This window comes from Homo sapiens, chromosome 1 (assembly GCF_000001405.40).
Source record: "Homo sapiens chromosome 1, GRCh38.p14 Primary Assembly".
Lineage (NCBI taxonomy): Eukaryota > Metazoa > Chordata > Mammalia > Primates > Hominidae > Homo > Homo sapiens.
This window is the reverse complement of record NC_000001.11, coordinates 222,522,264-222,548,251: the sequence shown is the minus strand read 5'-3', so window position 1 is coordinate 222,548,251 and position 25,988 is coordinate 222,522,264. Positions and strand designations below refer to the sequence as shown.

The window sequence follows — 25,988 nt, the reverse complement described above, 5'->3', positions numbered from 1 at the left end:
AGGGGGGAAGGGACACCTCCCACTGCTTTCAAAGGGAGCCCACAGAAGGGACACTGCTCAGAAACTACCTCAGCAGGGAGGGGCGGGGAAGAGGAGGAAGGAGGAGAAAACAGGGTGGAGTAGGGGGAGGAAGAGAGGGAGGACCTTGGGCAGAGCAGGGAAGCCAACCTGAGCAAACACAGCAGCCCGAGTGTTCCCAAGGCCAAAATGCTGAGAACGTCCACTCCTAATCTGTGTGGTGGTCTGCATTGCCGGGCCCCCTGGCTCTCTTCTGGCATTCTCTGCCTCTGCCTCATATTCTTGTTGGGCCAGGTGGGCTTGCTGCAGGGACACCCCCAGTGCCTGGATTACGGGCCCCCTTTCCAGCCCCCTCTGCACCTTGAGTTTTGCTCTGACTATGAGTCCTTCGGCTGCTGTGATCAGCACAAGGACCGCCGCATCGCTGCCCGGTACTGGGACATCATGGAATATTTTGATCTGAAGAGACATGAGCTGTGTGGAGATTACATTAAAGACATCCTTTGCCAGGTAGTGAAAAGTGCCTTCCAGCCCCAGGGGTTTGGGTGCTGGGCTGCATGGTGTGGGTCCTGAGCGGAGGGTGCTTTGGGAGCCCAGCCCTTTAGAAGTTCATGTGCCGGGTGCCTCATCTTGGAGCTGCCGGCTTTGGACACGCACACTGACATGAGTGTGTGCTGAATTTGGTCTCCATGGGTTCCCCAAAGCTCTCCCTCTGGGATTCTGCTGGCCCTGATTCTTCTCCAGGCTCCAGGAGAATGAGAGGGACACTCTTCCTGGAGCTCTCAGAGCAGCCATTATTTGCCACACTCCCTCTGTGGTGCATGGCAAATAATTATTTGCATCCTCTGCGGTGCTCAGAGAGCTAGGCACTTAAACCCGTGGAATTTACCGAGCGCGTTAAGGGAGGGAGTGGTGGCATCTGCTGGGGTCCAGTCCTTTTCATCTGGGTGATTTGTGCCAGGGCATCTCTGGCGTCACCCTGGCGGTGGCAGGGGTTGGAGACTCTCTCCAGAGTTCTGTCTGCCCAGCACTCCAGAGCTGGAAGAGAGAGATGCAAGCTGCTGAGTAGCAGTGACTCACAGAGTTTCTGCTTCTCCTGGTTGCCCAACAGCCAAAATCCACATGCCTGGGAGGCATCGTTTTGATTGAGCTCAGCCTGAAAACAAGACGGGTGTAGGCTGCACACACAGACTTTGTAGGAAGAGGGTGTTTGGGGGTTAATGGGGAGAGGTCAGCATTTGGAAAGCTGATAAAAGAGGCTGCCTGGGGAGGACCCCTCTAATGATGTTGGGGAGGAGAGGCAAGAAGTCCAGGCAGCCTTTTGAACTGAGACCCCCTGGGCTTGTCAGCACAATGACTTGGCTATCCACAGGCATCTGTTCATGACTCCTGGCGCCACTGTTCCTGAGCCTGCAGACCACTGTAACTCCCACATAGGGCGTGAAGTGGTTAACCGAGCTTCCCAGAGTCCAGGAGAGAATTACAGCTGAGCCTGGCCCAGAAAGTCAGCCACCTGGGTGGCACCGCCTGGGGCTGTCCTCTTAGACACCACTCCACAGCTGTTTCCTGGAGAATTAACTCTAGGATTCCCATTAGGGTAGAAGCTGAGCTTTTACAAGCAGCACTGAGAATGTTTATTTCTGAGATCATCCCTGGTAAAAATTTATACCCCTGACCCTTCCCTCTTGCATGAGGTTTCAGAAAGTCAAAGTCAGCAGCTCTGTTGTTTTAGGGATTTGAGGAATAAGAACAATTTCAGCCAAACAGTCCTACACGTGTTTATTTATTCACATTTATAAGGTCCTCTTTCTTCCCCAACGTATGTAGTGTGTACCCAGCAATGATTCTGCAGGCAGTTGTTATGATCCTCATTTTACTGATGAGGGCTCAAGAGTTTAGATGACTTACCCAAGGTAAAACAATCCTGGGGCACAGAGCCAGATGCTCAGGCTCCAAGTTTTGTGCCTTTTGATCACACCGTGCTAAAGTATAGTTACAGCAGCACTGGCTTGTTTACTTAACGGTTTTCTGAGCTCCCCAAACTATATGCTCCATTGGAAGAGAGACTTTGTGCATTTCGCTCACTGCTGCATCCCAATCAATGTAGAGAACGGTGCCTGGCACGTAAGACAGACTCAACAGGAGAGTCACATAGGACTTTTATTTATTTATTTATTTATTTATTTTTTGAGACAGAGTCTTACTCTGTCACTCAGGATGGAGTGCAGTGGCACGGTCTTGGCTGACTACAACCTCTGCCTCCCGGCTTCAAGCGATTCTCCTGTCTCAGCCTCCTGAGTACCTGGGACTACAGGCACATGACACCATGCCTGGGTTTTTTTATTTTTTTAATTTTTTTATTTTTAGTAGTGACAGGGTTTCACCATGTTGGCCAGGCTGGTCTTGAACTCCTGACCTTAGGTGATCTGCCCCCCTCATCCTCTCAAAGTGCTGGGATTACAGGCGTGAGCTACTGCGCCTGGCTAGAGACCTTATGGGCTTTGATTTTCTTCCCTTTGAAGTAGGGAAGTATCTGTTCATTTACTGAGCTAATTGAGTAGAAGCAAATTTGCAAACTCTAAATGGCTGCATGAGAGTGTGCCATAGTGATGGTTCTCTTTCCACAGCCCCCTTCTATTCTCTAGTATTGGATCCTTAATTCAGCCTCCCTTCTCCCTTTTTCCCAGTCTCCGAGAGTGGACAGAATGAGCAAGGGGACACTTAAGAGTGGGTCATGTTGCTTCTTGATAGCTGCTGTGATAAGTGTCTTAAATGGAAACAGACACCCCGAGGGGAGCCTGCGAATCTCTGAGCTCCTTCTTCCACTCTGCCCAATGACCGAAAGCTGACTCTGCAGCGTACAATCAGAGGAAATAAGAGAGAACAGGGAACTCACATATACATGAAAAATGCTGCTGGTCCTTTTGTGAAGCGATGGCAGCACAGAGGTGAATGAGATGGTTCTGCACAGGCTGGCTGGCTCAGGAGAGTCCTTAGTGATCAGAAGGGGGCTTCTGGGCCAATGGGTGAACTCTGCTCTAATGCACGGCTCCAAACGACACCCTTTGAATTGGGCTTTCTTACCTTCCTAATCTCAGTTGCCTCTGTCTTTCATCACTACTGGGAGTCGCTCGTCTGCTCACAATATTCTATTTTCCTCCTAAAAAATGTTATAGTCTAGGGAGGTCCAAGTAGCAGATACTCCTTTGAGCAAATAGTCCTTATATGTTTGTGTAAGGAGCAGGCATATTGCCCTATAGCCACAATTCAAATGTGTATAGGTTCCAGCATGGTACTTTGCATATATTAAACACTGAAATTTTTAAAATCAATAATTAAAGAAATTGCTAAACACCTAATCTCTGAGAGTGATACATCCAATGTCAATTCTGATAACTTTATTTTTCATTGTAAAATATTCCAAAAATATGGAAAAGCACAGAAAAATAATTAACACTGTATCTCCAACAACCAGATTTGAACAAATGTAAAATTTTTGCCAAATTGTTTCAGATTTGTATAAAGAAATAACATCTTGGTAGATATAGCATCCATAAGAAAATGAGGCTGGGCCGACATGGTGGCTCATGCCTGTAATCCCAGCACTTTGGGAGATCGAAGAGGCAGGAGAATCACTTGAGCCTAGGAGTTAGGAATCAGCCTGGGCAACATGGTGAGGCCGTTTCTATGAAAAATAAAATAAAATGAAAATTAAAAAATAAGAAAGAGATCTAGAAATTTAGTAATATCTTTTTGAAAAAATATTCATGCATCATTTAATAAAACTTTAAATGTCAAAAACTAAGCTGAAATGTTAGAGATAGTACAGTGAATATGAGAGATTTTCCCTGTTTTCTGCCTTCTAGGAGCATTAACTAGGTAGAAAATCACAGAGAAGAGTTTTAGCAGCAGTTGGTAACAAAAACTCCAAAATCCTGATTTTTTCCGCCTAGCACCATTTTTTCTTTCTGCTTGCTCAAAACTTGAGACAAGTGCCGGTGTGGCAGGTCTGATGCTGAGCCTGAGCTCCGCGTTCTTTTTTAGGAGTGCTCGCCCTACGCAGCCCACCTCTACGACGCCGAAAACACCCAGACGCCTCTCCGGAATCTCCCGGGCCTCTGCTCTGATTACTGCTCTGCCTTCCATTCTAACTGTCACTCAGCCATTTCCCTGCTGACCAATGACCGCGGCCTCCAGGAGTCTCATGGAAGGGACGGTACCCGCTTCTGCCACCTCCTGGACCTTCCTGACAAGGACTATTGCTTCCCTAATGTCCTGAGGAACGACTATCTCAACCGCCACCTGGGCATGGTGGCCCAAGATCCTCAGGGCTGCCTGCAGCTCTGCCTGAGCGAGGTGGCCAACGGGCTGAGGAACCCCGTCTCCATGGTCCATGCTGGGGACGGCACCCATCGCTTCTTTGTTGCCGAGCAGGTAGGAGTGGTGTGGGTCTACCTCCCTGATGGGAGTCGCCTGGAGCAACCCTTCCTGGACCTCAAGAACATCGTGTTGACCACCCCATGGATCGGGGATGAGAGAGGCTTCTTGGGGTTGGCTTTTCACCCCAAATTCCGCCACAATCGCAAGTTCTATATTTATTATTCGTGCCTGGACAAGAAGAAGGTAGAAAAGATCCGAATTAGTGAGATGAAGGTTTCTCGGGCTGATCCTAACAAAGCTGACCTGAAATCAGAGAGGTGAGAGGTACTCATGAGAGCCTACAGCTGTACTGTGTTCCGAAATAATGCCAACCAGGTCTGCGAGATAATAGAGGGGAACTTCACTGGTTTTAGAGCACTACTCGAACTGTTGAGAAAGGAGTCACTGTGGATTGAGAACGGCCCAAGTTAGCCTCTTGAGTTAAGGCTGTTTAATGGGATGTAGCCATCACCTTACAGTTACCCTAAATAAAGACATACTTTCCTGTCTTTACAAAGGGTAAGTAAGGACCAGCAGCCATAGGGGTCTGAGAAAGGATTATAGATAATATCAACATATGAAACATAATAGTAGCCTCTGATTATTATGTGCCATTAGATCCCAGGGCCTTTACTTTGAATGTGGGATTTCTTATTCTCACTGGAAGCTGTGGCACAAGGCCATCAAGCTATGGATGCATGGCCAGGTGAGGACTCAGTTTTAACTGACCCCAAGTTCATGCTCTTTCCACCCTACCACTCTGCCTTTGTTTTTCCTTCTTCTCCTTTCTCTCTTGTTTCTTTTCCCGTGGTAGACAGGTTGGAGGATTGCAAAGAGCATAAAGAACTGATAGATTAACCCCTCTTAAGTTACTCAAAAGAAGGGATGGAGCATTCTGGTAGGGCAGAGAGTAAGGGCAAGCCCTGGAAAAGGATGGTTGTTACCCTGGCTGGGTCCACAGCTCATTAAATCATGGTATGAAAGAAAAATGAGGCCAGGCATGGTGGCTCATGCCTGTAATCCCAACAGTTTGGGAAGCTGAGGCGGGCGGATCACTTGAGGTCAGGAGTTCAAGACCAGCCTGGCCAATATGGAAAAACCCTGTCTCTATCAAAAATTAGCCAGGCATGGTGGCACATGCCTGTAGTCCCAGCTACTCAGGAGGCCGAGGCAGGAGAATCGCATGAACCTGGGAGGCAGAAGTTGCAGTGAGCCAAGATCACGCCACTGCATGCCAACCTGGGTGACAGAGCAAGACTCCATCTCAAAAAAAAAAAAAAAAAAAAGCCAGATGTGGTGGGGTGGTAATCCCAGCTACTCGGGAGGCTCTCAGCTGAGGCAGGAGAATTGCTTGAACCTGGAGGTGGAGGTTGCAGTGAGGTGAGATTGCACCACAGCACTCCAGCTTGGATGCAGAGTGAGACTCTGTCTAAAAAAAAAAGACAAAGGAAAATGAGCCATGAAAGAGTTATACCAGGAAACAAGGGGCATCTCAGAGCCCCAAAGCTACTTGCTTTGTGATCCTTAAAAACTCAGAAGCAGGTCTTGGCTGGCTTGGCAAATCTCGGTGGCTTGGCCCAGTCATTTCTGGGTATCTCAAGAGGATGCAGCTTCAGCTTGTGTCAAATCCTAACGTGTGGTTTCTTTTTTCTCTTCCAGGGTCATCTTGGAGATTGAAGAACCAGCCTCAAACCATAATGGCGGACAACTTCTTTTTGGCCTGGATGGCTATATGTACATATTCACTGGGGACGGGGGACAGGCTGGAGATCCCTTTGGCCTGTTTGGAAATGCTCAGAACAAGTAAGCTGGATGGGGGCCGGGCCCTTGTCCCTTCAGAGTGAGCCCCTGGTGTGGTGTTTTTGCAGGGATGGCATCAAACTCAAATCACACACTGCAAGATGTAGTCTACTCCACTGAGGCAATGGGAGGAACATTTGGTTTTCTGTTCCATAAATTTCAGACATAGTATATTTTGGTAGTTAATATTATTGATGCTCAATACAACTGTCAGAGTGTTATGTAAAGGAGAATTCAGGATTTTAAAAATATATATATTAGCAGGTCATTATTCACCACACTAATCATCTAATTCAATTCAACTCAATAATATTATTGAACACCATGTTCCAGGTGCTGTGCTAGGCCCTGGAGACACATGAGAAGTTAACTACTGAGAGCCAATGTGTATTGGGTGCTTGCAGCTTGTCAGGCATTGGTCTAAGTACTTTACATTTGAGAAGGTAATTTTAGCAACCTTCAAGGGCAAGAATTTATATCTAATATCTATTTTGTTAATTGATATATCACCAGCACTCAGGACAGTGCCTGGCACAAGGGAGTCTTTCCATAATTACACATGGAATGAATGAATCCTATGAAGTATACATATAATAGTATCCATTTTACAGACAAGAAAATGGAGACACAGAGGTCGTACAATGAGTAAGTGGAAAAAACAGAATCCCAACCCACACAATACGGTGCCAGAGCCCAGTGATGCTGTCTTGCCTAGATAAAGGTCATGTGGTCCTTCTGCCCTTTGCACCCAGTAAGCACTTGGCTTCTATTATTCCTAGTAATAAAAATATTGAGGTTAATAATAATACAAAGCTAACATTTGTCGAATACCTACTGTGATTCAAGAATTGCATTAAACGCTATATACACAGTAACTCATTTAACCCTTACATCACAACCACACCGCAAGGTAAATAATATGTATCTAGCTATATATTTTAAATAGAGATGGGGCCTCACTGTATTGCCTAGGCTGTTCTTGAACTCATGGCCTCAAGCTATCCGCCCACCTCAGCCTCCCAAAATGTGGGATTACAGGCATGAGCCACTGCACCTGGCCAATATATTAAAAAGAATAGCAGCCTCTGATTATCATGTGTTCATTAGATCCCAGACCCTTTACTTGAGCGTGAAATTTCTTATCCTCACAGGAAGCAGTGGCACAAGGCCATCAGTTACTCTCCTCTGACTTTCAAATGAGGAAAGTCAGCCCCAGAGACCACAGTCATTGGCAGAGCCTCTCAGAAGCTTCTATTCTGTTCTTTTAACTGACCACGTTGTTAAATAAACAATAAACAATATAACTAGCTTCTTGAAAAACTTTGTCATATTAGACCAAATCAGAGAGAAGCTGTGCTCATCATTAAAATAAGAATTGAAGCTGCAACTTGCTCAGGGTCACATGGACCAAGATCACATCAAACTTTTGCCTCGTAGTTCTCTTAGAGCCAAACATGGGGCAGTCTTAAATATCTTGTATAGATTTAAAAGAAAATCTTCAAGCTCATACTTGCGGGTACAAAAAAAGAAGGAAAATAAGAAGTCAAATCTTCCCATGGGATCCTTAGCAGTCTCTTGGCATCAGCTATGAGTCGGCCCTTCTGGGCGATCTCTTCCAGTCCTGTGGCTTTCCTTGCTTACCTCATTCTGCTTCTTGGCCTTCTTTCTTTCAGAAGTTCCCTGCTGGGAAAAGTTTTAAGGATCGATGTGAACAGGGCAGGCTCACATGGCAAGCGGTACCGAGTCCCCTCGGACAATCCATTTGTTTCTGAGCCAGGGGCCCACCCCGCCATCTATGCCTATGGGATCAGGAACATGTGGCGTTGTGCTGTGGACCGAGGGGACCCCATCACGCGCCAGGGCCGAGGCCGGATATTCTGTGGGGACGTGGGCCAGAACAGGTTTGAAGAGGTTGACCTCATTTTGAAAGGTGGAAACTATGGCTGGAGAGCAAAGGAAGGGTTTGCATGTTATGACAAAAAACTTTGTCACAATGCCTCTTTGGGTAAGTAAGAAGCTCTCTGGGTGATTTCTTGGATGAGTTGAGTGGGCTGGAGGTGGAGGTAGGGAATAAAACCTGAATGTCCTGCCCTGCAGGTCATTTAAATCACGCCTTGTTTGTGTCCTGTGGTGTAGTGCTTCTCCAACCGGTCCTCCAGCCACTCACTGGCACCAGAGACATCTTGGCAGTGGCTATTTTAAAAAAGTGAATTCCTAGACTCTGCCCTCGACCTAATGAATTTGAATTTTGGGTGGATTGGAGACATGAGATTGACCCAGGAATCTGTATTTTAAATAAGTTACCCACATTAATTTTAGGCATATTATTTTGAGAACCACTGGCAGACCAAAATTGATGTATGTTTTTATTTATTTCCCAACTGGGACAGGCCACTGAAATGATATTCTGCACATAGGCAAGTAAGAGGACACTTTCTTTTCTTTTTTTTTCTTTTCTTTCTTTCTTTTTTTTTTTTTTTTTTTTTTAGACAGAGTCTTGCTCTGTCACTGGGCTGGAGTGCAGTGGCATGATCTCAGCTCACTGCAACCTCCGACTCCCGGGTTCAAGTGATTCTCCTGTCTCAGCCCCCTGAGTAGCTGGGATTACAGGCATGCACCACCACTCCTACCTAATTTTTTTATTTTTAGTAGAGATGGGGTTTCACCATGTTGGCCAGGATGGTCTCGATCTCCTGACCTCGTGATCCGCCTGCCTCGGCCTCCCAAAGTGCTGGGATTACAGGTGTGAGTCACCGTGCCCGGCCCAGGACACTTTCTAAACACCAATAATCAAGGTGTACTTTAGAAACTCCACCTGGCTCAAAATTCTAGTGTTCTGACTCTATTACTTCTTCTTAGTCTTTTCTTGTCCTCTAACTTATAAAGCAGTCTTACAGACTGTGACAATATTTTCCATATCCTTAAACCTGGGTTTCTGCCATATCAACCTAGGGGGAAAACTTAGCCATGTGGATTTCCAGGTCACTGCCTCATAGATGGAGGGAATTTTTGGCTTCCTCTCTGCCTGCAGATAGCAGTTAAGTAGGAAGTTTGCAAATATTGTGGATGGCCTATTGAGAACAATAAACATGATTCACTTGCTTGCCTGTCCTACTGAAGACCAAGAGGTAAAGTGTTCTTTACTGAATTAGGCAACTGCATTAAAAAGTCCCCTTCTTCCTCCTTGAAGCTTTCAATTTTAGGCCACGACACTCACTCTCTTTCCTCTCTCCTGGACAGATGATGTTCTGCCAATCTATGCTTATGGCCATGCAGTGGGGAAGTCAGTCACTGGAGGTTATGTCTATCGTGGTTGTGAATCCCCAAATCTCAATGGCCTGTATATCTTTGGAGACTTCATGAGTGGGTAAGGAAGGACTGATGTCCCTTCTCCCTCTTTTTATTTTAATATTTTTACTGAGGTATAACTTACATATGGTGAAATATAATCACGTAAGAGCACAGGTGTTTGATGTTTTACAAATGTATGCACTCATATTACCACCAACCATATCAAGAGGCAGAACACTTCCATCACCCTAGAAGGCTCCTTCTTGTCTATTACCTCTCTCTCTCTCTCTCTCTCTCTCTGTCTCTCTCTCATACCAGGGGCTCACTTTAAAGGGACAGGGGCCCAGCTTCCATCCAGCTTACTTGTTCTGAGCATTTCCAAACATGCCAAAGGGATCGGGTCTCCAGCCTGTCCCCCGTCCCCAGTGAATATGTACATGTAGCCATCCAGGCCAAAAAGAAGTTGACATACATACACACACACACACACACACACACACACACACACACACACACACACACACACACCCCAGCCAGAGATAAGCACTCTCACCACAGCTTAGTTTTGCTTCTGGAACTTCATATATAAATGGAATAATTATAATATGTACTCTTCTTTTTGTGCTTGGCTTCTTTAATTTGGTAATGTCTGTGGGATTCATCAATGTTGTTCCATGTATCAGTAATTTGTCTTTTTTATTGCTTTGTAAAATTCAGTTGTATGAGTACACCACAATTTATTCATCTGTTCTCCGTGTTGCTGATGGACATTTTGGCTATTCCCAGTTATGAAATATTGTGAATAACATGGCTACTGTATTTTATAGTCTTCAGTGTAGAGATCTTGCATATTTACCTGTCTCTTAGTGTTTGATGTTATAGTAAATGTTATTTTGTTAAATTCCAGTTTCTGACTGTTAATTGTTAGAATATAGAATTTTTTTATATTGAGCTTATATCTGGCAACCTTGCTGAACTCTTTGTTCATTCTGATAGCTTTTTTGTAGATTCTACTGGATTTTCTATGTGGAACATAATTTTATTAGAAGGTCTGTGAATAGAGACACTTTTACTTTCTTTTTTTTTTTTTTTGAGATGGAGTCTCGCTCTGTCGGCCAGGCTGGAGTGCAGTGGTGCGATCTCGGCTCACTGCAAGCTCCACCTCCCGGGGTTCACGCCATTCTCCTGCCTCAGCCTCCTGAGTAGCTGGGACTACAGGCGCCTGCCACCACGCCCAGCTAATTTTTTGTATTTACTTTCTTTTTTTTTTTGAATTGAAGCCTGCTCTTATTTTTTAACTGGCTTATTGCTCTACGTTAATCTCAGTGCAGTGTTGAATAGAAATAGGGGAAAGCATTCATTTTCACCATCATATTGGTGTGATGTTACACAGTAACATCACACCAATATGATGTCAGCTGTAGGTGATTTCTATACACCCTTTATCAGGCTGGGGACATTTTCTTTTATTTCTAGTCCTTTGAAAATTTGTATTAGATATAGATGTTGGGTTTTGTCAAATGCTTCTTTTCATCTTTTGATGAATCATGTGGGCTTTTAAAATTTTTAGTTTCTTAATATGGTGAATTTCATTGATTGATTTAAAAATTGCTAGAGCAGTCTTGCATTCTGAGGAAAATACCACTTGGTCATAATGCCTTATCTTATTTATTTATTTATTTTTTGAAACAAGGTTTTGCTCTGTTATGCAAGCTGGACTGCAATGGCACGATCATAGCTCACTACAGCCTCAAACTCCTGGGCTCAAGTGATCCTCCCACCTCAGCCTCCCCAGTAGCTTGTGGCACCCAGCTAATTAAAAAAAATTTTTTTTTTTGTAGAGATGGAGTCTTACTATGTTGCCTAGGCTGGTCTTGAACTCCTGGCTTCAAGCTGTTCTCCCACCTTGGCCTCCCAAAGTGCTAGGATTACAGGCATGACTCACTGCCCGGCCCCATCCTTTTTACATATAGATGGATTTGATTTGCTGACATGTTGTTTGAAATTTTAAAATCTATGTGCATGAAGGAATAGTGAACTATAGTTTTTCTTTCTTGTAATATATTTGTCAGATTTGGAATCAGGGTAAACAGGCTTTACAGAATAAGTACTCCTGTTCAATTATCTGGAAGAGTTTGTGTAAAATAGGTATTATTTTTCCTTATGTGTTCTTCCTTCCAAGAAAAACCATCTGGGCCTGAAGTTTTCTATGTGAAAAGACTTTTAATTACAAATTTAATTTCTTTATTAGATTTAATTACTCAGCTTATCTATTTCTTTCTGAGTGAGCTTTGGTAGTCTGTGCCTTTCAAGGAATTTTTCCAGTTTGTCTACGTTGTCAAATGTTTTGGCATTCAGTTGTTCATAATATTCCTTTATTATTCTTTTAATATCTATAGAAACTATGGTGATGTCACTTGTCTTATTCTAGATACAGTTGGTAGTTGTGTCTTCTCTTTTTTTTAAATCAGTCTGGTTAGAGGTTTATCCATTTTATTGATCTTCTATAAGAACCAGCTTTTGTGTTCATTGATTTTTTTCCTGTTATTTTAATGTTTTTTTCTATTTCATTGATTTCTTCTCTTTTTTCTTCCTTCTGCTTGATTTGGATTTAATTTGCTCTTCTATTTCTAGTTTCTCAAGATGGAAGCTGAGATTATTGATCTGAGACCTTTCATCTTTTCTAATATATGTGTTTAGTGCTATAAATTTCCCCCCGAGTACTACTTTAGCAGTATCCTGTAAATGTTGATATATTGTGTTTTCATTGTTATTCAGTTAAAAATATTTTCTAATTTACCTTTTGATTTCTTTGTCCCATGAGTTATTTCAAAGTGTGCTATTAAGTTTCCAATTACCTGAAGATTTTCCAGAGATCTTTCTGCTATTGATTTCTATTTTAGATTTACTGTGGTCCCAGAACATATTGTATATGACTTGGGGGACTATCTTGGATTTTCTGGGTGGGTCCTAAATGAAATCACAAGTGTGTTTAGAAGAGGAAGGTAGGGGGAAATTTGAAGATGGGAGAGATAGAAGGTGATGCAACAACGATGGCAGAGGGAGAAAAGGTGACGTGATGTGGGGCCATGAGTCAAGGCATAGGGACGACCTTCAGAAGCTGGAAAGAGTGAGGGAACCGATTCTCCTCCAGAGCGTCTGGAGGGAGCACAGTCCTGCCAACACCTTGATCTTGGCTTAGTGAAGACCACTTCAGAGTTCTGGCAACCAAAACTATAAAAGAATAAGTGTATGTTGTTTTAAGCCACAAAGTTGTCGTAATTTGTAGTTGAGGTGATTTGTTACAGTGGCAATAAGAATGTTATCATTCCTAATGCTCTCAATTCCTTTGGGTAGATGCATGTTTCTATCTGATATCATTTTTCTTCTGTCTGAAGAACTTCCTTTAACATTTCTTGTCAATGGGGTCTATAGTGATGAATTGTTTTCACTTTTGGAGTCTTTATTTTGCCTTCATTTTTGAAAGATATTTTCACTAGGTATAGAAGTCTATGTTAACATGTTTTTTTCTTTGATTCTTTAGAGGCTGCGCCACTATTTTCTGGCTTGCACCATTCCAATGAGAAATCCGCTGCCAGACTTCTGTTTGTTCCTTCATATGTAATATATCATTTTTTTTCCTATGGCTGCTTTTTAAGATTTTCTCTTTATCATTAGTTTTGTGCAATTTCATTAAAATATGCCTTAGTTTGGTTTTCTTCATATTTCTGTGCTTAGAGTTTTTTGCAGTTATTGGATCTGTGAATTTATAGCTTTCAAGAAATATGGAACATTTTTGGCCATTATATCTTCAAATGTGTTTTCCTCTGTCCCCACTCCTTCTCTCCTTTTATTCAGAGGCTCTAATTACATGTATATTGGGCTGCTTAAAGTTGTTCCATAGTTCGCTGATGATCTATTTATGTTAAAAAATTTTCTCTGTGTTTTATTTTGGGTAGTTTCCATTGCTATGTCTTTAGTTCATGAATTGTTTCTTTTGTAATGTCTAGCCAGCCATTCATTCCATTGAGTGTGTGTGTGTGTGTGTGTGTGTAATCTCAATGTATTTTTCACCTCTAGAAACTTGATTTGGGTCTGCTCTGTATCTCTCATATCTCTCTGTAATTTTTTTTTTTTTTTTTTTTTAGAGATGGAGTCTCGCTCTGTCGCCCAGGCTGGAGTGCAGTGGCACGATCTCGGCTCACTGCAAGCTCCGCCTCCCGGGTTCACGCCCTTCTCCTGCCTCAGCCTCCTGAGTAGCTGGGACTACAGGCATCCGCCACCACGCCCAGCTAATTTTTGTATTTTTAGTAGAGACGGGGTTTAGAATCATTGTTTAAATGTTCTTGTCTGCTAATTTTAACATCTTCATCAGTTCTGTGTCACTTTCAATGGACAGATTTTACTCTTTATTATGGGTTGTATTCTCCTCCTTCTTTACTTGCCTCACAATTTTTGATTGGATGCCAGAAATATTAATTTAACTTAGTAGGTGCTGGATATTTTTGTATTCCTATAAATGATTTTGAATTTTGCTTGGAGACATAGTTAAGTTACTTGGAAGTAGTGTGATTCTTTCAGGTCTTGCTATTAATATTTGCTAAACAGATCCAAGGTAGTGCTTTTTCTAGTGCTTTCTATTCCTCACTACTGAATTCTACCTATACCCTGTGGTACTTATGCTATTCCTGATCTCAAGTAAATGCCAAGTACTTTTTCTTCTAATTCTTTCCTTTGTTTTAAAGTATTTTCTCACATGTATCTGCTGTTGAGTATACTGATGATTACTTCAGGGGAACCTTTTGCAGCTCTCTGGCATTCTTTCTCTGTGCAATTTTCTTCTCTTCAGTATCTGTCCTGCAATCTCTTACTGCATTGGTCTTCCTGGACTCTCAGCAATATCTTTTCAGCTCAAGGAGCCTGCTGGGCTTTGCCTGTATTTTCCCTCCCTGTGCTGGAAACTCTCAAGGTAGTATGCTGGAAAAATCATAGGGTTCACCTTGTTTGTTTCCTGTCTGTCAGAGAACACACTCCTCCATTGCCTGATCTTCAGTATATTTCAAGCCATTATTATTCTATCTTGTGCAGGTTTTGGAATGTTTAAGATGGGAAAGTAAATCTGGTCCCTGTTAGAAAAGATGTTCTATTTTCATGCTGCAATTCTTAGTTACAGAGATGGGGTAAAGTTACTAATTGGTCAGGTCCTTTATCATCACTTACTAGAGCTTTGGGATTTCATTGTTCTTCATGTTTTTCTCCCTACAACCTCCACTCACCACCCTGCCCCCATACACACATCATTTGGTTAATATGCAGTGATTCTTTTTCCTTTTCTTTTCTTTTTTTCTTTTTTTTTTTTGAGACAGAGTCTCCCTCTGTCACCCAGGCTGGAGTGCAGTGGTGCAATCTCGGCTCACCGCAACCTCTGCCTCCTGGGTTTAAGCAATTCTCATGCCTCAGCCTCCCAAGCAGCTGGAACTACAGGCACACAACACCACGCCCAGCTAATTTTTGTATTTTCGGTAGAGATGGGGTTTTGCCATGTTGGTCAGGCTGGTCTCGAACCCCTGGCCTCAGGTGATCCACCCGCCTCAGCCTCCCAAAGTGTTGGGATTACAGGCATAAGCCACTGCACCCATTCACAGGCAGTGATTCTTAATTGAGGTGTACTTATCAAAATCCCCTGGGTTTAGGATCTCTGTTTCCATAAAACTTTCCAGGTGATTCTGATGAGCACCCAGGGTCTAACCAACTTCCTTTCCCTTTTCTTCTAAAAACCTGCTTTTAGTTCAGATAGATGATAGAGGGATAGGAAGCATCTTTCTGCTACTGTATAAATATACAGCAATAATAATAACAGTTAGTAGTTTTTTTAACCCTTACTATGTGCCACACACATTGGTGAGATCTTTATGTATATTATTTTGTTTAACCTTCAAAATTCTCACCTATGGTAAAGTATGTTATCACTCCCCATTTTATGGATGAGGAATCTGAAGCTTAGAGATATTGGGCAACTACCCAAAGGTCACACAACTAATGAAAATAAGATCAGTCTTTTGTAGTGGTGCAGCCTACACAGCACGTCAAACTCTTTTTTTTTTTTTTGAGACAAAGTCTTGCTCTGTCACCCAGGCTGGAGTGTGCAGTGGCATGATCTTGGCTCACTGCAACCTCCACGTCCTGGGTTCAAGCATTTCTTGTGCCTCAGCCTCCCGAGTAGCTGGGACTATAGGTGTGCACCACCCTGCCTGGCTAATTTTTGTATTTTTAGTAGAGATGGGGGTTTCACCATGTTGGCCAGGCTGGTCGTGAACTCCTGACCTCAAGTGATCTGCCTGCCTTGTCCTCCAAAGTGCTGGGATTACAGGTGTGAGCCACTGGGCCTCGTCCAAACTCCTTTTATATAGAACATGAACTTCCACATCTAGGGCAAGTGGGTGATTGAAATATCTCTGAAGAAGCTTTTTGGTTGCTTGGAGGCAGGCTAGTTATTGATCTCTTAATGGGGGACTCAGTCCTAGTACTCAGGGATCTCTGATTCTAGGAGAAAAAGTATTCTGCAGAGTGGATATATGGATTCCTAAACATAAGGGTTTATTTTTTGTCTAGTCGACTTATGGCTTTGCAGGAAGATAGAAAAAACAAGAAATGGAAGAAGCAGGATCTTTGCCTGGGCAGCACCACGTCCTGTGCCTTCCCAGGGCTGATCAGCACCCATAGCAAGTTCATCATCTCCTTTGCTGAAGATGAAGCAGGTAACAAATGTACAGAGTTGTTTGATTTCTGCTTACTAGAACTCGGATAATCACAGGCATCAACTGAACGTTTATTTTAAATAGTAATTATCACTTCTACTATGATCACTATCGTTTAGTCATCTTTTATAATGTACTGGATACTATTCTAAGCACTTCACATTTTTTACCTTATTTCATAATCATAACACCCCCACGATATAATTATTTTTTATTTTTTCTTCTTTTTTTTGAGACAGAGTCTTGCTCTCTGTCTGCGGCGCCATCTCGGCTTACTGCAACCTCCGCTTCCAGAGTCCAAGCAATTCTCCTGCCTCAGCCTCCCAAGTAGCTGGGACTACAGGCGCCCGCCACCATGCCCAGCTAACGTTTGTATTTTTAGTAGAGACGGGGTTTTGCCGTGTTGGCCGTGCTGGTCTCAAATTCCTGACCTCAGGTGATCTGCCCGCCTCAGCCTCCCAAAGTGCTGAGATTACAGGCGTGAGCCACCGCGCCCGGCTCCATGATGTAATTATAATGCTCGTTTCACCAATGAAGAAACAGACTGAATATGCCAACTTACTCCTTCCTGATTGAACCACACAACTCACTGTGAGGGGAATATCTATTCTGAACCACAGTTTTAGGAATGTGGAAAGGGCCAACAGCGGGCCAGACTAAATGGGCAGCGGGTGTTTATGCTGCCGGTGCTGTCTGGGAAAGGGACCTCTGGTGATCATCTCACTGGTTGGGCCAGGTTCTTTCCTGACCTTGCCAAGAGTCTGTGAGAAAAGGAGAATTTTATTTATTTATTTAGAAACCTGAGAAAAAGGTAGACATCTAGGTAGGAGGTTGCTCAGTAGACAGACTAGGCACGTGTTAAGGGAATCAGTGAAGCATGATGTGCACGTGTACACATGAGCGAGAGAGACACAGAGAGACTCAGCTCTAATACATTTCCAAACATTTTATCATCAGAAAGCCGATTTTTAACTTCAGCTTTACATAAGTTATGTTTCACTCTGAAAGATAAGGTTTTCGAATTTTAAATATTTCTCTTTTTTTATGTGAGGACAGTGAACTTTTCAGTATTTGGCACGAGATATCACCATGTTTAAAGACAGAGATAATAAGGTGATCTCTCAGGGTCCCTTCCACATCTAGATTCTCTATAGGTGAAAAAAAAATAATTAAACAACAGAAAACAAAACAAATCAAAAAACACAAAAAATACACAAGAAAAGAAAAAATTTAAAAAAAAAGATTCTCTATAGGTATAAACCAGAGTCTCAAAGGATTCTGAAGTATTTGGTTTCTTTCCCCTCTGGGCCATGAGGTGGCTGCCTTGGGACCTTCACTTGAGTAGGATATAAAGAGACCCAGTCAGCTCCCGGACCCTTTCCTCTCAGCTAGCCGATGAACAGATAGTTTGAGATGAATGTTTTATAGGAGCAGAGGAAACTTCAAGAATTTTGGAAACTTCAAGTATTTTAACAGGAAAAAGTCTATGTGAGTTCCAAATTGGAAGTCCAAACATATGAAAAAGGAGAGAAACCACAGGCTGGCAGGATGATGGCCAGTGGAAAGTGAGTGACGTGAAAGCTGCAGGCGGTGGTGGAGCCTCTCCTCTGCCGGACACCCCTGTGTCCAGCACCACCCCAGAGATTGGAACCCCAGAGGCAGGCCTGCCCAGGGATTCTGGGCTGCCATCTTCTGTGGCTTGCTCCTCTTCAGGAGGCCACAGAGAACCTGGCTTTGGTGGCTTGGTTTGTTGTGCTTGCAGACTTCTCACCGTAGAAAACAGACAGCATAAAAAAAAAACAACAGTCATGGTACATCTGGCAAACAAAACACAGTCCTTGGCTGAATTTCATGGGGTAGACTTGCCAACGTGTTCCCAAGCCTTTACCCAAGGGCGGCCCTGAGGCTGATGAGGCTGTTCTTGAGGCAAATTATTTTTTTTTCCAGAGTTGCTTGCTCTTGTGTTTTTGCATAAACTGATTCATATTTTCTGCCCTTGCCATATTCTTTTCCTCTGAGAGGCATTTTTAGATCTGAGCCTTATTTCATTATTTTATTATCAGTCCACTGGCTTTAGGTAAGTCACTTTTTACTTGGAACTTGAGCTCTGCCTCACCTATGGCTGCACTTCACATCCTGGGTCCTGAGAGTTGATAGCTGGTATGAATTGCTGCTGAGTGACTGGCTGGTGTGGAGCTGCCCATTGCTGAGGTTTAATTGATGGGATTTCTGAAAGTTAGTCACTGAAGGGCATTCCCAAGAGGGCTGGTCAAATGAATTCTGTTTGCAGTAAATTTGTATAGCATGCATTTTTGTTTTAAATGGCATATTATAGTTTTTTTGTTTTTCTCCCCTAAGATGTATATTAAAAATATCAGTTGGATGCTACAGATGAAATTCACTTCTAGCATTGTTTTCTCCTAAAAATACAATGGGAAGTCTATGGAATGTGGAAGACATGTAATTTACACAAACTGCAGTCCAGTATAGGCATGGTTTTCAATTTTCTTTTTAGACTGAGAAGGCCTTTGCATGGTTTCGAGGGGCCCCTGCCTGTGTACACGTGGACCTTTCGTAGACACCACATTTATCTAATGGTAGAATCACTCTGGATGGTGCCTGGGCTTCCCATTCAGACAAAGCAAACTGACTCTAAAGGAGGGTGTGCCCTAGTTCATCAGATCTCTTACATGGGGAAGATTATACATCTAGTTTGTCAGTACACAAATCATAGTTTGTTAGGCAGCTGCTACCCTGTGTAGGGGCTATGCAAAGACCATGAGGCTCACACTTAGCACAAGACAAACGCTGGTCTCTGTTCTCCACAAAAAGCAGTTGTTTAGAGCTGTTGTGTGGTGGCTCATGCCTGTAATCCTACTGCTTTGGGAGGCTGAGCTGGGAGGATTGCTTGAGTGCAGGAGTTTGAGACCAGCCTGAGCAACATAGGGAAACCCCGTCTCTACAAAAAGTTTAAAAAATGATCCTGATGTGGTGGCATGCACCTGTAGTCCCAGCTGCTCAAAAGACTGAGGTGGAAGGTTTGCTTGAGCCCAGGAGGTTGAGGCTACAGTGAGCTGTGATTGTGCAGCTACACTCCAGTCAGCAACAGAGCAAGACCTTGTCTAAAAAAAAAAAAAAAAAAAAATTAGTTGTTTAAATAATTCAGAGCTGTATAAAGCTTTAGGTTTTTCAGAATTGCAACTTAATAGACATTTTCTTTCATAAAATTGAGAAAGAATTGTGTAAGGCACATGACAGCAAGTGAGTTTAATTCAGTGTAATGGCACAAACATTGGGTCAGACAGATAAGAAAGTAAAAATAACTACGATTATCGAACACTTTCTTTTTTTTTTTGAGACGGAGTCTCGCTCTGTTGCCTACTGCACTGGGAGTGTAGTGATGCGGTCTTGGCTCACTGCAACCTCTGCCTCCCAGATTCAAGTGATTCTCATGTCTCAGCCTCCCGCATAGCTGGGATCACAGGCGTGTGCCACCACGCCTGGATAATTTTTGTATTTTTAGTAGAGAGGGGGTTTTGCCATGTTGGCCAGGCTCATCTTGAACTCCTTACCTCAGGTGATCCACCTGCCTCAGCCTCCCAAAGTGTTGGGATTATAGGCATGAGCTACCGCGCCCGGCCTGGTTATCTAACACTTTCTAATTGAATACCTAACAATCACTTGAGGCATTGTGATCCCCATTTTACAAATGAATAAATATCTCGAGGGCTGTGCAGGTGAAGAGGTCTCCCAAGATAGCATGGAGAGGAACTGGTGTTATCAGAAATCAAATCAGACTTCTGGGACTCTCCACTGGGGCTCATGACCCCATAGCATAATGTCCCTCACAAATAACTAGAAAGCAATGTGGAATGAGGTAGTTACTGTGACAAAAGAACATTTCCCTGAGTTACAACTGGGAGAAATGGTAAGGAGCAGGGGGCTCTTTCTAAGAGTGTATTAGTCCGTTTTCACACTGCTGATAAAGACATACCTGAGACTGAGACTGGGTAATTTATAAAGAAAAAGAGGCTTAGTGGACTCACAGTTCCACATGGCTGGGAAGGCTTCACAATCATGGTGGAAGGTGAAAGGCACCTCTTACATGGTGGCAGACAAGAGAGAAAATGAGAGCCAAGAAAAAGGGATTTCCTCTTATAAAACTATATAAAACCATCGGAGCTCATGAGACTTATTCACTACCAGGAGAACAGTATGGGGGAAGCTGCCCCCATGATTCAATTATCTCCCATTGGGTCACTCCCACAACATGTGGGAATTATGGGAGCCAAATCATTCAAGATGAGATTTGGGTGGGGACACAGCCAAACCATATCAGAGAGATACAGGAGAGAGTGGGTAGAGGTGATTTTTGTGGGGCATGGAAAAGACCGAGAGGAGAAATGGAGAGTGGGGAGGGTCACCAGGAAATAAGGAACTCAAGGACAGAATGAAAGAGGAAAATGGGAGTGAGGCTGAAGGGAAACAAAAGGACTAAAGAAGGGGCAAAATAAAGCGATTGACAGATGGTCCTCAGCCTGCAGACTGTATATATCCAAGTGTTCACAGAGGAAAGAGGTGGGGAAGGAAATGGAGATTCACGGAGGTGAAGTTTCTGAGGGCAAGGAGGTGATAAGGGGGAAACCTGTTTGGTTTGATAAACAAACATACACGTGAAATTGCCTCTGCTAGGCCATACACTGAGCTAGTCTTTGGGGGGTTCAAAGATGGACTTTCTCCTCAAGGAGCTCACAGCCCAGCAGAGCTGATGCCAGTTAGGTTTCTGGGATTCCGTTCTTGGCGCTCACTGCATTTTAGGGCCATAACCTCTTTTTGACCATTTTCTGTGCATCCAACTCTGTGTCTCAGTGCTGCCTGATGTCCCATTATTGCCTGTCTATTTTTGTTGCCTTAGGGGAGCTGTATTTCCTGGCGACCTCTTACCCAAGTGCCTATGCACCACGTGGATCTATTTACAAGTTTGTTGACCCCTCAAGGTGAGATTTGATGTCATTTTCTTCTCAAATGCATTTTTCTCATTTCTTATCTCCATGGCAGGCCATAAAAACAGTCCTCATTGTCCCGAAGCAAACTCATGTTCTAGATGAAAAGCAGTTTGGACAAATAATGGCATAGGACAATGCATCTATAGCAATTATGGAATACTTGGGAAACGGTCTCTTTGCAGTTGGACATGAAGACCTTGAGCCTTTCTAGGGTTAGTCTAGGTCTGTGGCTTTTTTTTTTTTTTTTTTTTTTTGAGATGGAGTTTCACTCTTGTTGCCCAGGCTGGAGTGCAATGGTGCCATCTTGTCTCACCGCGACCTCCGCCTCCCAGGTTCAAGCGATATTCCTGCCTCAGCCTCCCAAGTAGCTGAGATTACAGGCATGCACCACCATAGCTAGCTAATTTTGTATTTTTAGTAGAGATGGGGTTTCTCCATGTTGGTCAGGCTGGTCTTGAACTCCCGACCTCAGGTGATTCACCTGCCTCGGTCTCCCAAAGTGCTGGGATTACAGGCGTAAGCCACCATGCCCAGCCTTTTTTTTTTTTTTTAATATGCTTCTGGAAATGTCTGTCTGAGGTCATCTAACAACAGGTGTACACCTCTGAGCACCTGAGTAAGTACTGCTCCCCTGTCCCCTGGGCTTGGTGCAGATCTCCAGGTCTTTGGCAAATACGTTTAACTGGCAGGTTCCTCAATAGCTCTACCTTTTCTGGAGTTTAGTGTTTATTCACTTGCTGGGCTGTATGCTGTTTCCTTCTGCTTCTTTGCCTATCTGTCTCAGAGGCTGACCAACCTCCACCAGCACAGGCAAAAGCCACAATACCACTTCCCACTTGAGAGGTGGTTGGGTCTGGGTCAGGTTATCTGCCCCAGGGAGGGTGATGCATTGTATCCATCCTGAGGAGTCTGGGCAGTGCACTGGATTTTTTTTTATTTTTATTTTTTATTTTTTATTTAATAGACACAGTCTCACTCTGTTTCCCAGGCTGGACTGCAGTGACACGATCTCGGCTCACTGCAACCTCTGCCTCCTGGGTTCAAGCTATTCATGTGCCTCAGCCTCCCAAGTCGCTGGCATTACAGGCATGCACCACCACACCCGACTAATTTTCGTATTTTCAGTAGAGACGGGGTTTTGCCATGTTGCCCAGGCTAGTCTCGAACTCCTGGCCTCAAGCGATCCACCTGCCTCAACCTCCCAAAGTGCTGGGATTACAGGTGTGTGCCACCATGCACCCTGCCCCAGTGCTCTAGATTTATCTAAAAATTATTGCCAAAGCAAGAAAATCTCCCCCTGAATTAGCTTACAGATAGACATGCAGAAGAAAATTTTCCCCTGAGGCTTATGTTACCCATATCTGGATTGGCATTCAGCAGACATGAGGCAAATAGGTCCAGCCACTGGTTAGGGCTTGGGGGGGCCAGCTCTATCTGAGCTTGTATTTGGCCACAGGGCTCTCAGTTTGTGTGTTCTCGGAAGTTCCTGGAAGAGGCTCCGTCCCTGAGGCTGTTCCCCGGGGTGATGTGTGGATGGTGGAGGGTGGATAGCCAAGGGGTGAATTTAATACTGGGCTGTTCCCACTGCTGGGTCTGCTTCTGTGCACTTCTCCTGGGTTTAGGGGATGGAGCAGACTCAGGGTCTTTAAAGTGCTTCTGATGGTTGACGATGCCTTGGTGGGGAGTTCTCTTTCCATTAACAGGCTTCCTATGTGAATCCATTTTTCTTTTCTTTGGCAGTTTTCTGATTCAGTTGGCAGGTAATTTAACTCCCCACTTTCACAAGAGCAGCTGTGAGAAGCCACACAGAAAGCACCCATAAAGCATTTTCACACTGAAGACATCCTTACTTATTCACCTTTTTTTTTTAAGTTGACATTTATGGAGTTACTCCTGTGTGCCAGGCACTGTACTAAGTGCTGTGCATGTGGGCTCTCATTTAATGCTGACAGAATTCCAACCAGGCAGGTTAACATCCTCACTCTATGGATAAAGAAACTGAAGGCTAGGTAAGTTAAATTACTTGCCCCAGGTACAGCTACTAAGAGGAGCCTGGAATAGGAACTCAGTTCTCTTTGTGGAGAGGTCATTTTAGGACTACTCCCTCCATTCAGTTATAATTATATCGAATCATATAGACTTTTTAAAGCTTCTATAAGTGGACCAGATTCTGCTCTGGTTACTTATTCAGCTTGTCTTTGCACGAAATGCACCAATCCCAGCATTTTGAGGGCACCTGGTTAATTTATGTATCCTTTTCTCCCTCCCATTTTTTCCTCCTACCCTTCCTTTAGGGGTAGCTAAATACAGTGGTTGAGAACATGGACTTGAGCCTGGGCTTGGAATCTTGGCTTTGCCACTGACTAACTATGTGGCCTTGGGCCTGTTTCTTAGCCTGTGCGAGCCTCAGTTTCCCCTCTGTAAAATGAGTATAATAATAGTACTTACTTCACAGGTTGTTAGGAAGACTCAATGAGTTAATATTTGCAAAGTATTTAGAATGGTGCCTAAGCACTACGTAAGTGTTTTTTAAATAAATACAATTACCTTTTTTTCCCTCCCACCTGGACTTGGGAGGATGGCAGTGAGAGATAGAGTTGGAGCAAGGCAGAGGCAGAGAAAGCAATGGGGACAGGCTGGGAAGTTCCAGCTCTGCTCTCTACAGTGGAAGTACTCTCTGTCCTCAAAGTCCCTTTTATTTCAGAAGATGCACCCGGGGACAAGCAGTTTAAGAATGTGTGTGTTACTAGGCAGAGAAGCTGGCATCGCCTGAGGGCTGTGCCTTGAGTTCTTGAAGACATTTTCTTTAAAGGGAGTCACCAGCACCACCATCAGAAGCAGCAGCAGAATCATCCTCATCATCATTTTCATCATCCTCATCTGTGAGCTCTTGTTATGTTCTGGGCACTGTTCCAAGCCAGATGGGAAACATTAGTTTTTGCATTTGATAGATGTGGAGACTGAGGCTTAGCAAGGTTTTTTGCCCCTGGTTACCAGGATGTGAACCCGTTTTGACTGCCACCATGCCCATACTCCTAACTCCTTCTCTGCACTGTCTCTCAAGGGCCTGAGGAGCCCTGTTCTGTCTGTGCCCTTTTACCTCACCTTCTGAGCTCATAGCATATTTCCTGTTACATCTACCCCATCCCCATGGATAAGTAAAGGCTGACCCCAATTCTTGCAAATATACGCCCTCTGGTAACCTTGATTTTCCGGTTGCATCTTCAGAGTCTTGCGTCCTCATGCTTTCTGTTTGTGTTTTTAGGCGAGCACCCCCAGGCAAGTGCAAATACAAGCCAGTGCCCGTGAGAACCAAGAGTAAGCGGATCCCGTTCAGACCACTCGCCAGTGAGTCCATCTTTGAGTCTTAGGCTCAGGCCTTGGTGTGGAGGCTAAGGCAGTGCCCTCAGCAAGCAGGCTATAATTCCCATGGTGGAGTCTTAGTTACCCCCTGAGGGAAACTAAGTCTATACGTCTCCTCTGCATAACAGAGGAGTTATGAGTGTAAGGATACCCATTTCTACTGTGACCGGTTTCCTCTAGTTATTCGTTCATTCATTCGTTTGTTGATTCATTCATTTAATCGTTCATGTATTCATTCATTTGGCATCATTCATTTCATACTTACTTTGTGGCAGGAACTATGCTAATCCCTAGGGATACAGCAATGAACACTTAAAGCCTATGACATGTAGGAGTTCAGAGTTAAATAGGAGTGGGGATGGGAAGTGCAGGCAAATAAAGAAATAAATGTAGCACTAATGTTCTGGTATAGAAGGATGCTCAGGGCACTTAGAGGGCCCCTAGAATGAGGAATGTTTCCTTGGGGCAGGGTGGGGAGTCAGGAAAGACTTACAGAGGAAGGATACTATCTTAAGGAAACTATTACAGAACCATGTATCACTGGAGTGACCCTTCTAAAAAAGTCATATATTTAGACCAAGGCCAGTTAGAGAATTAAAAGTATTAATAAGAATAATTTATATTAAAGAACTATAATGCAGTTATAGTTTTCTCTTATAGCTACTTTCTGGGACTTATATTTTTCACTAAATAAATACTGATTTCTCAGAGACAGTCTTGGACTTGCTAAAGGAACAATCAGAGAAAGCTGCTAGAAAATCTTCCAGTGCAACCTTAGCTTCTGGCCCAGCCCAGGGTTTGTCTGAGAAAGGCTCCTCCAAGAAGCTGGCTTCTCCTACAAGCAGCAAGAATACATTGCGAGGGCCTGGTACAAAGAAGAAAGCCAGAGTGGGGCCCCACGTCCGCCAGGGCAAGAGGAGGAAGAGCCTGAAAAGCCACAGTGGCAGGATGAGGCCATCAGCAGAGCAGAAGCGAGCTGGCAGAAGTCTCCCTTGACCTATTGGTCAAGGTGGCCGACAGGGTGACGTGAGAGAGGAGAGCCACCTCATCAAATGAAAGTCACTGCTGAATAAAGACCTTAGAAGTCTGGGAAGCCAGGGTAGAGGTGGGGCAGGGCGGTTTTCCTCTCCCTGGGAAATCTTGCTGTCTACTGAATAAATAAATGCACCTTCTCTGTATGCAGTGCTTCTGTGGGAGACCATATCCCAGATTGCTGGTGCACCTGGGTTATGGTAAGCACTAGTCCATGAGCCTGCTTGGAATCACACTGGATGTCTCCGTTTTGTCTTGTAAATGCCTACAACCTGAGGTAATAAATCAACATTTGCTCAAA

At 43.8% G+C, this 25,988-nt stretch overlaps 1 protein-coding gene across 4 annotated transcripts, besides 1 other annotated feature; it reads left to right on the top strand.

Moving 5' to 3' along the window:
* The first annotated feature begins 147 nt into the window (after positions 1-147).
* HHIPL2 (HHIP like 2) lies at positions 148-25,988 on the top strand. 4 transcript variants are annotated; one of them, XM_024449814.2, is made up of 10 exons: positions 148-528; positions 4,063-4,715; positions 6,097-6,240; positions 7,911-8,242; positions 9,478-9,604; positions 16,141-16,286; positions 21,202-21,283; positions 23,245-23,301; positions 24,558-24,640; positions 25,365-25,964. In XM_024449814.2, the coding sequence occupies exons 1-10, from the start codon at positions 208-210 to the stop codon at positions 25,649-25,651; spliced, it is 2,232 nt and encodes a 743-aa protein (XP_024305582.1). In that variant the 5' UTR covers positions 148-207; the 3' UTR covers positions 25,652-25,964. The 4 variants fall into 4 exon arrangements, 3 of the variants coding, with proteins under 3 accessions (XP_024305582.1, NP_079022.2, XP_011508288.1); NM_024746.4 differs by lacking the exon at positions 23,245-23,301 and having other exon boundaries at positions 25,365-25,988; XM_011509986.2 differs by lacking the exons at positions 23,245-23,301; positions 24,558-24,640; positions 25,365-25,964 and adding an exon at positions 23,033-23,236.
* Positions 21,556-21,740: a silencer, noted in NCBI's record as "fragment chr1:222699854-222700038 (GRCh37/hg19 assembly coordinates)". NCBI's record gives its function as "represses an EF-1alpha promoter that drives an FKBP-Casp9 reporter gene in an ReSE screen in K562 erythroleukemia cells {active_cell/tissue: K562}" and the evidence as "EXISTENCE:reporter gene assay evidence [ECO:0000049][PMID:32094911]".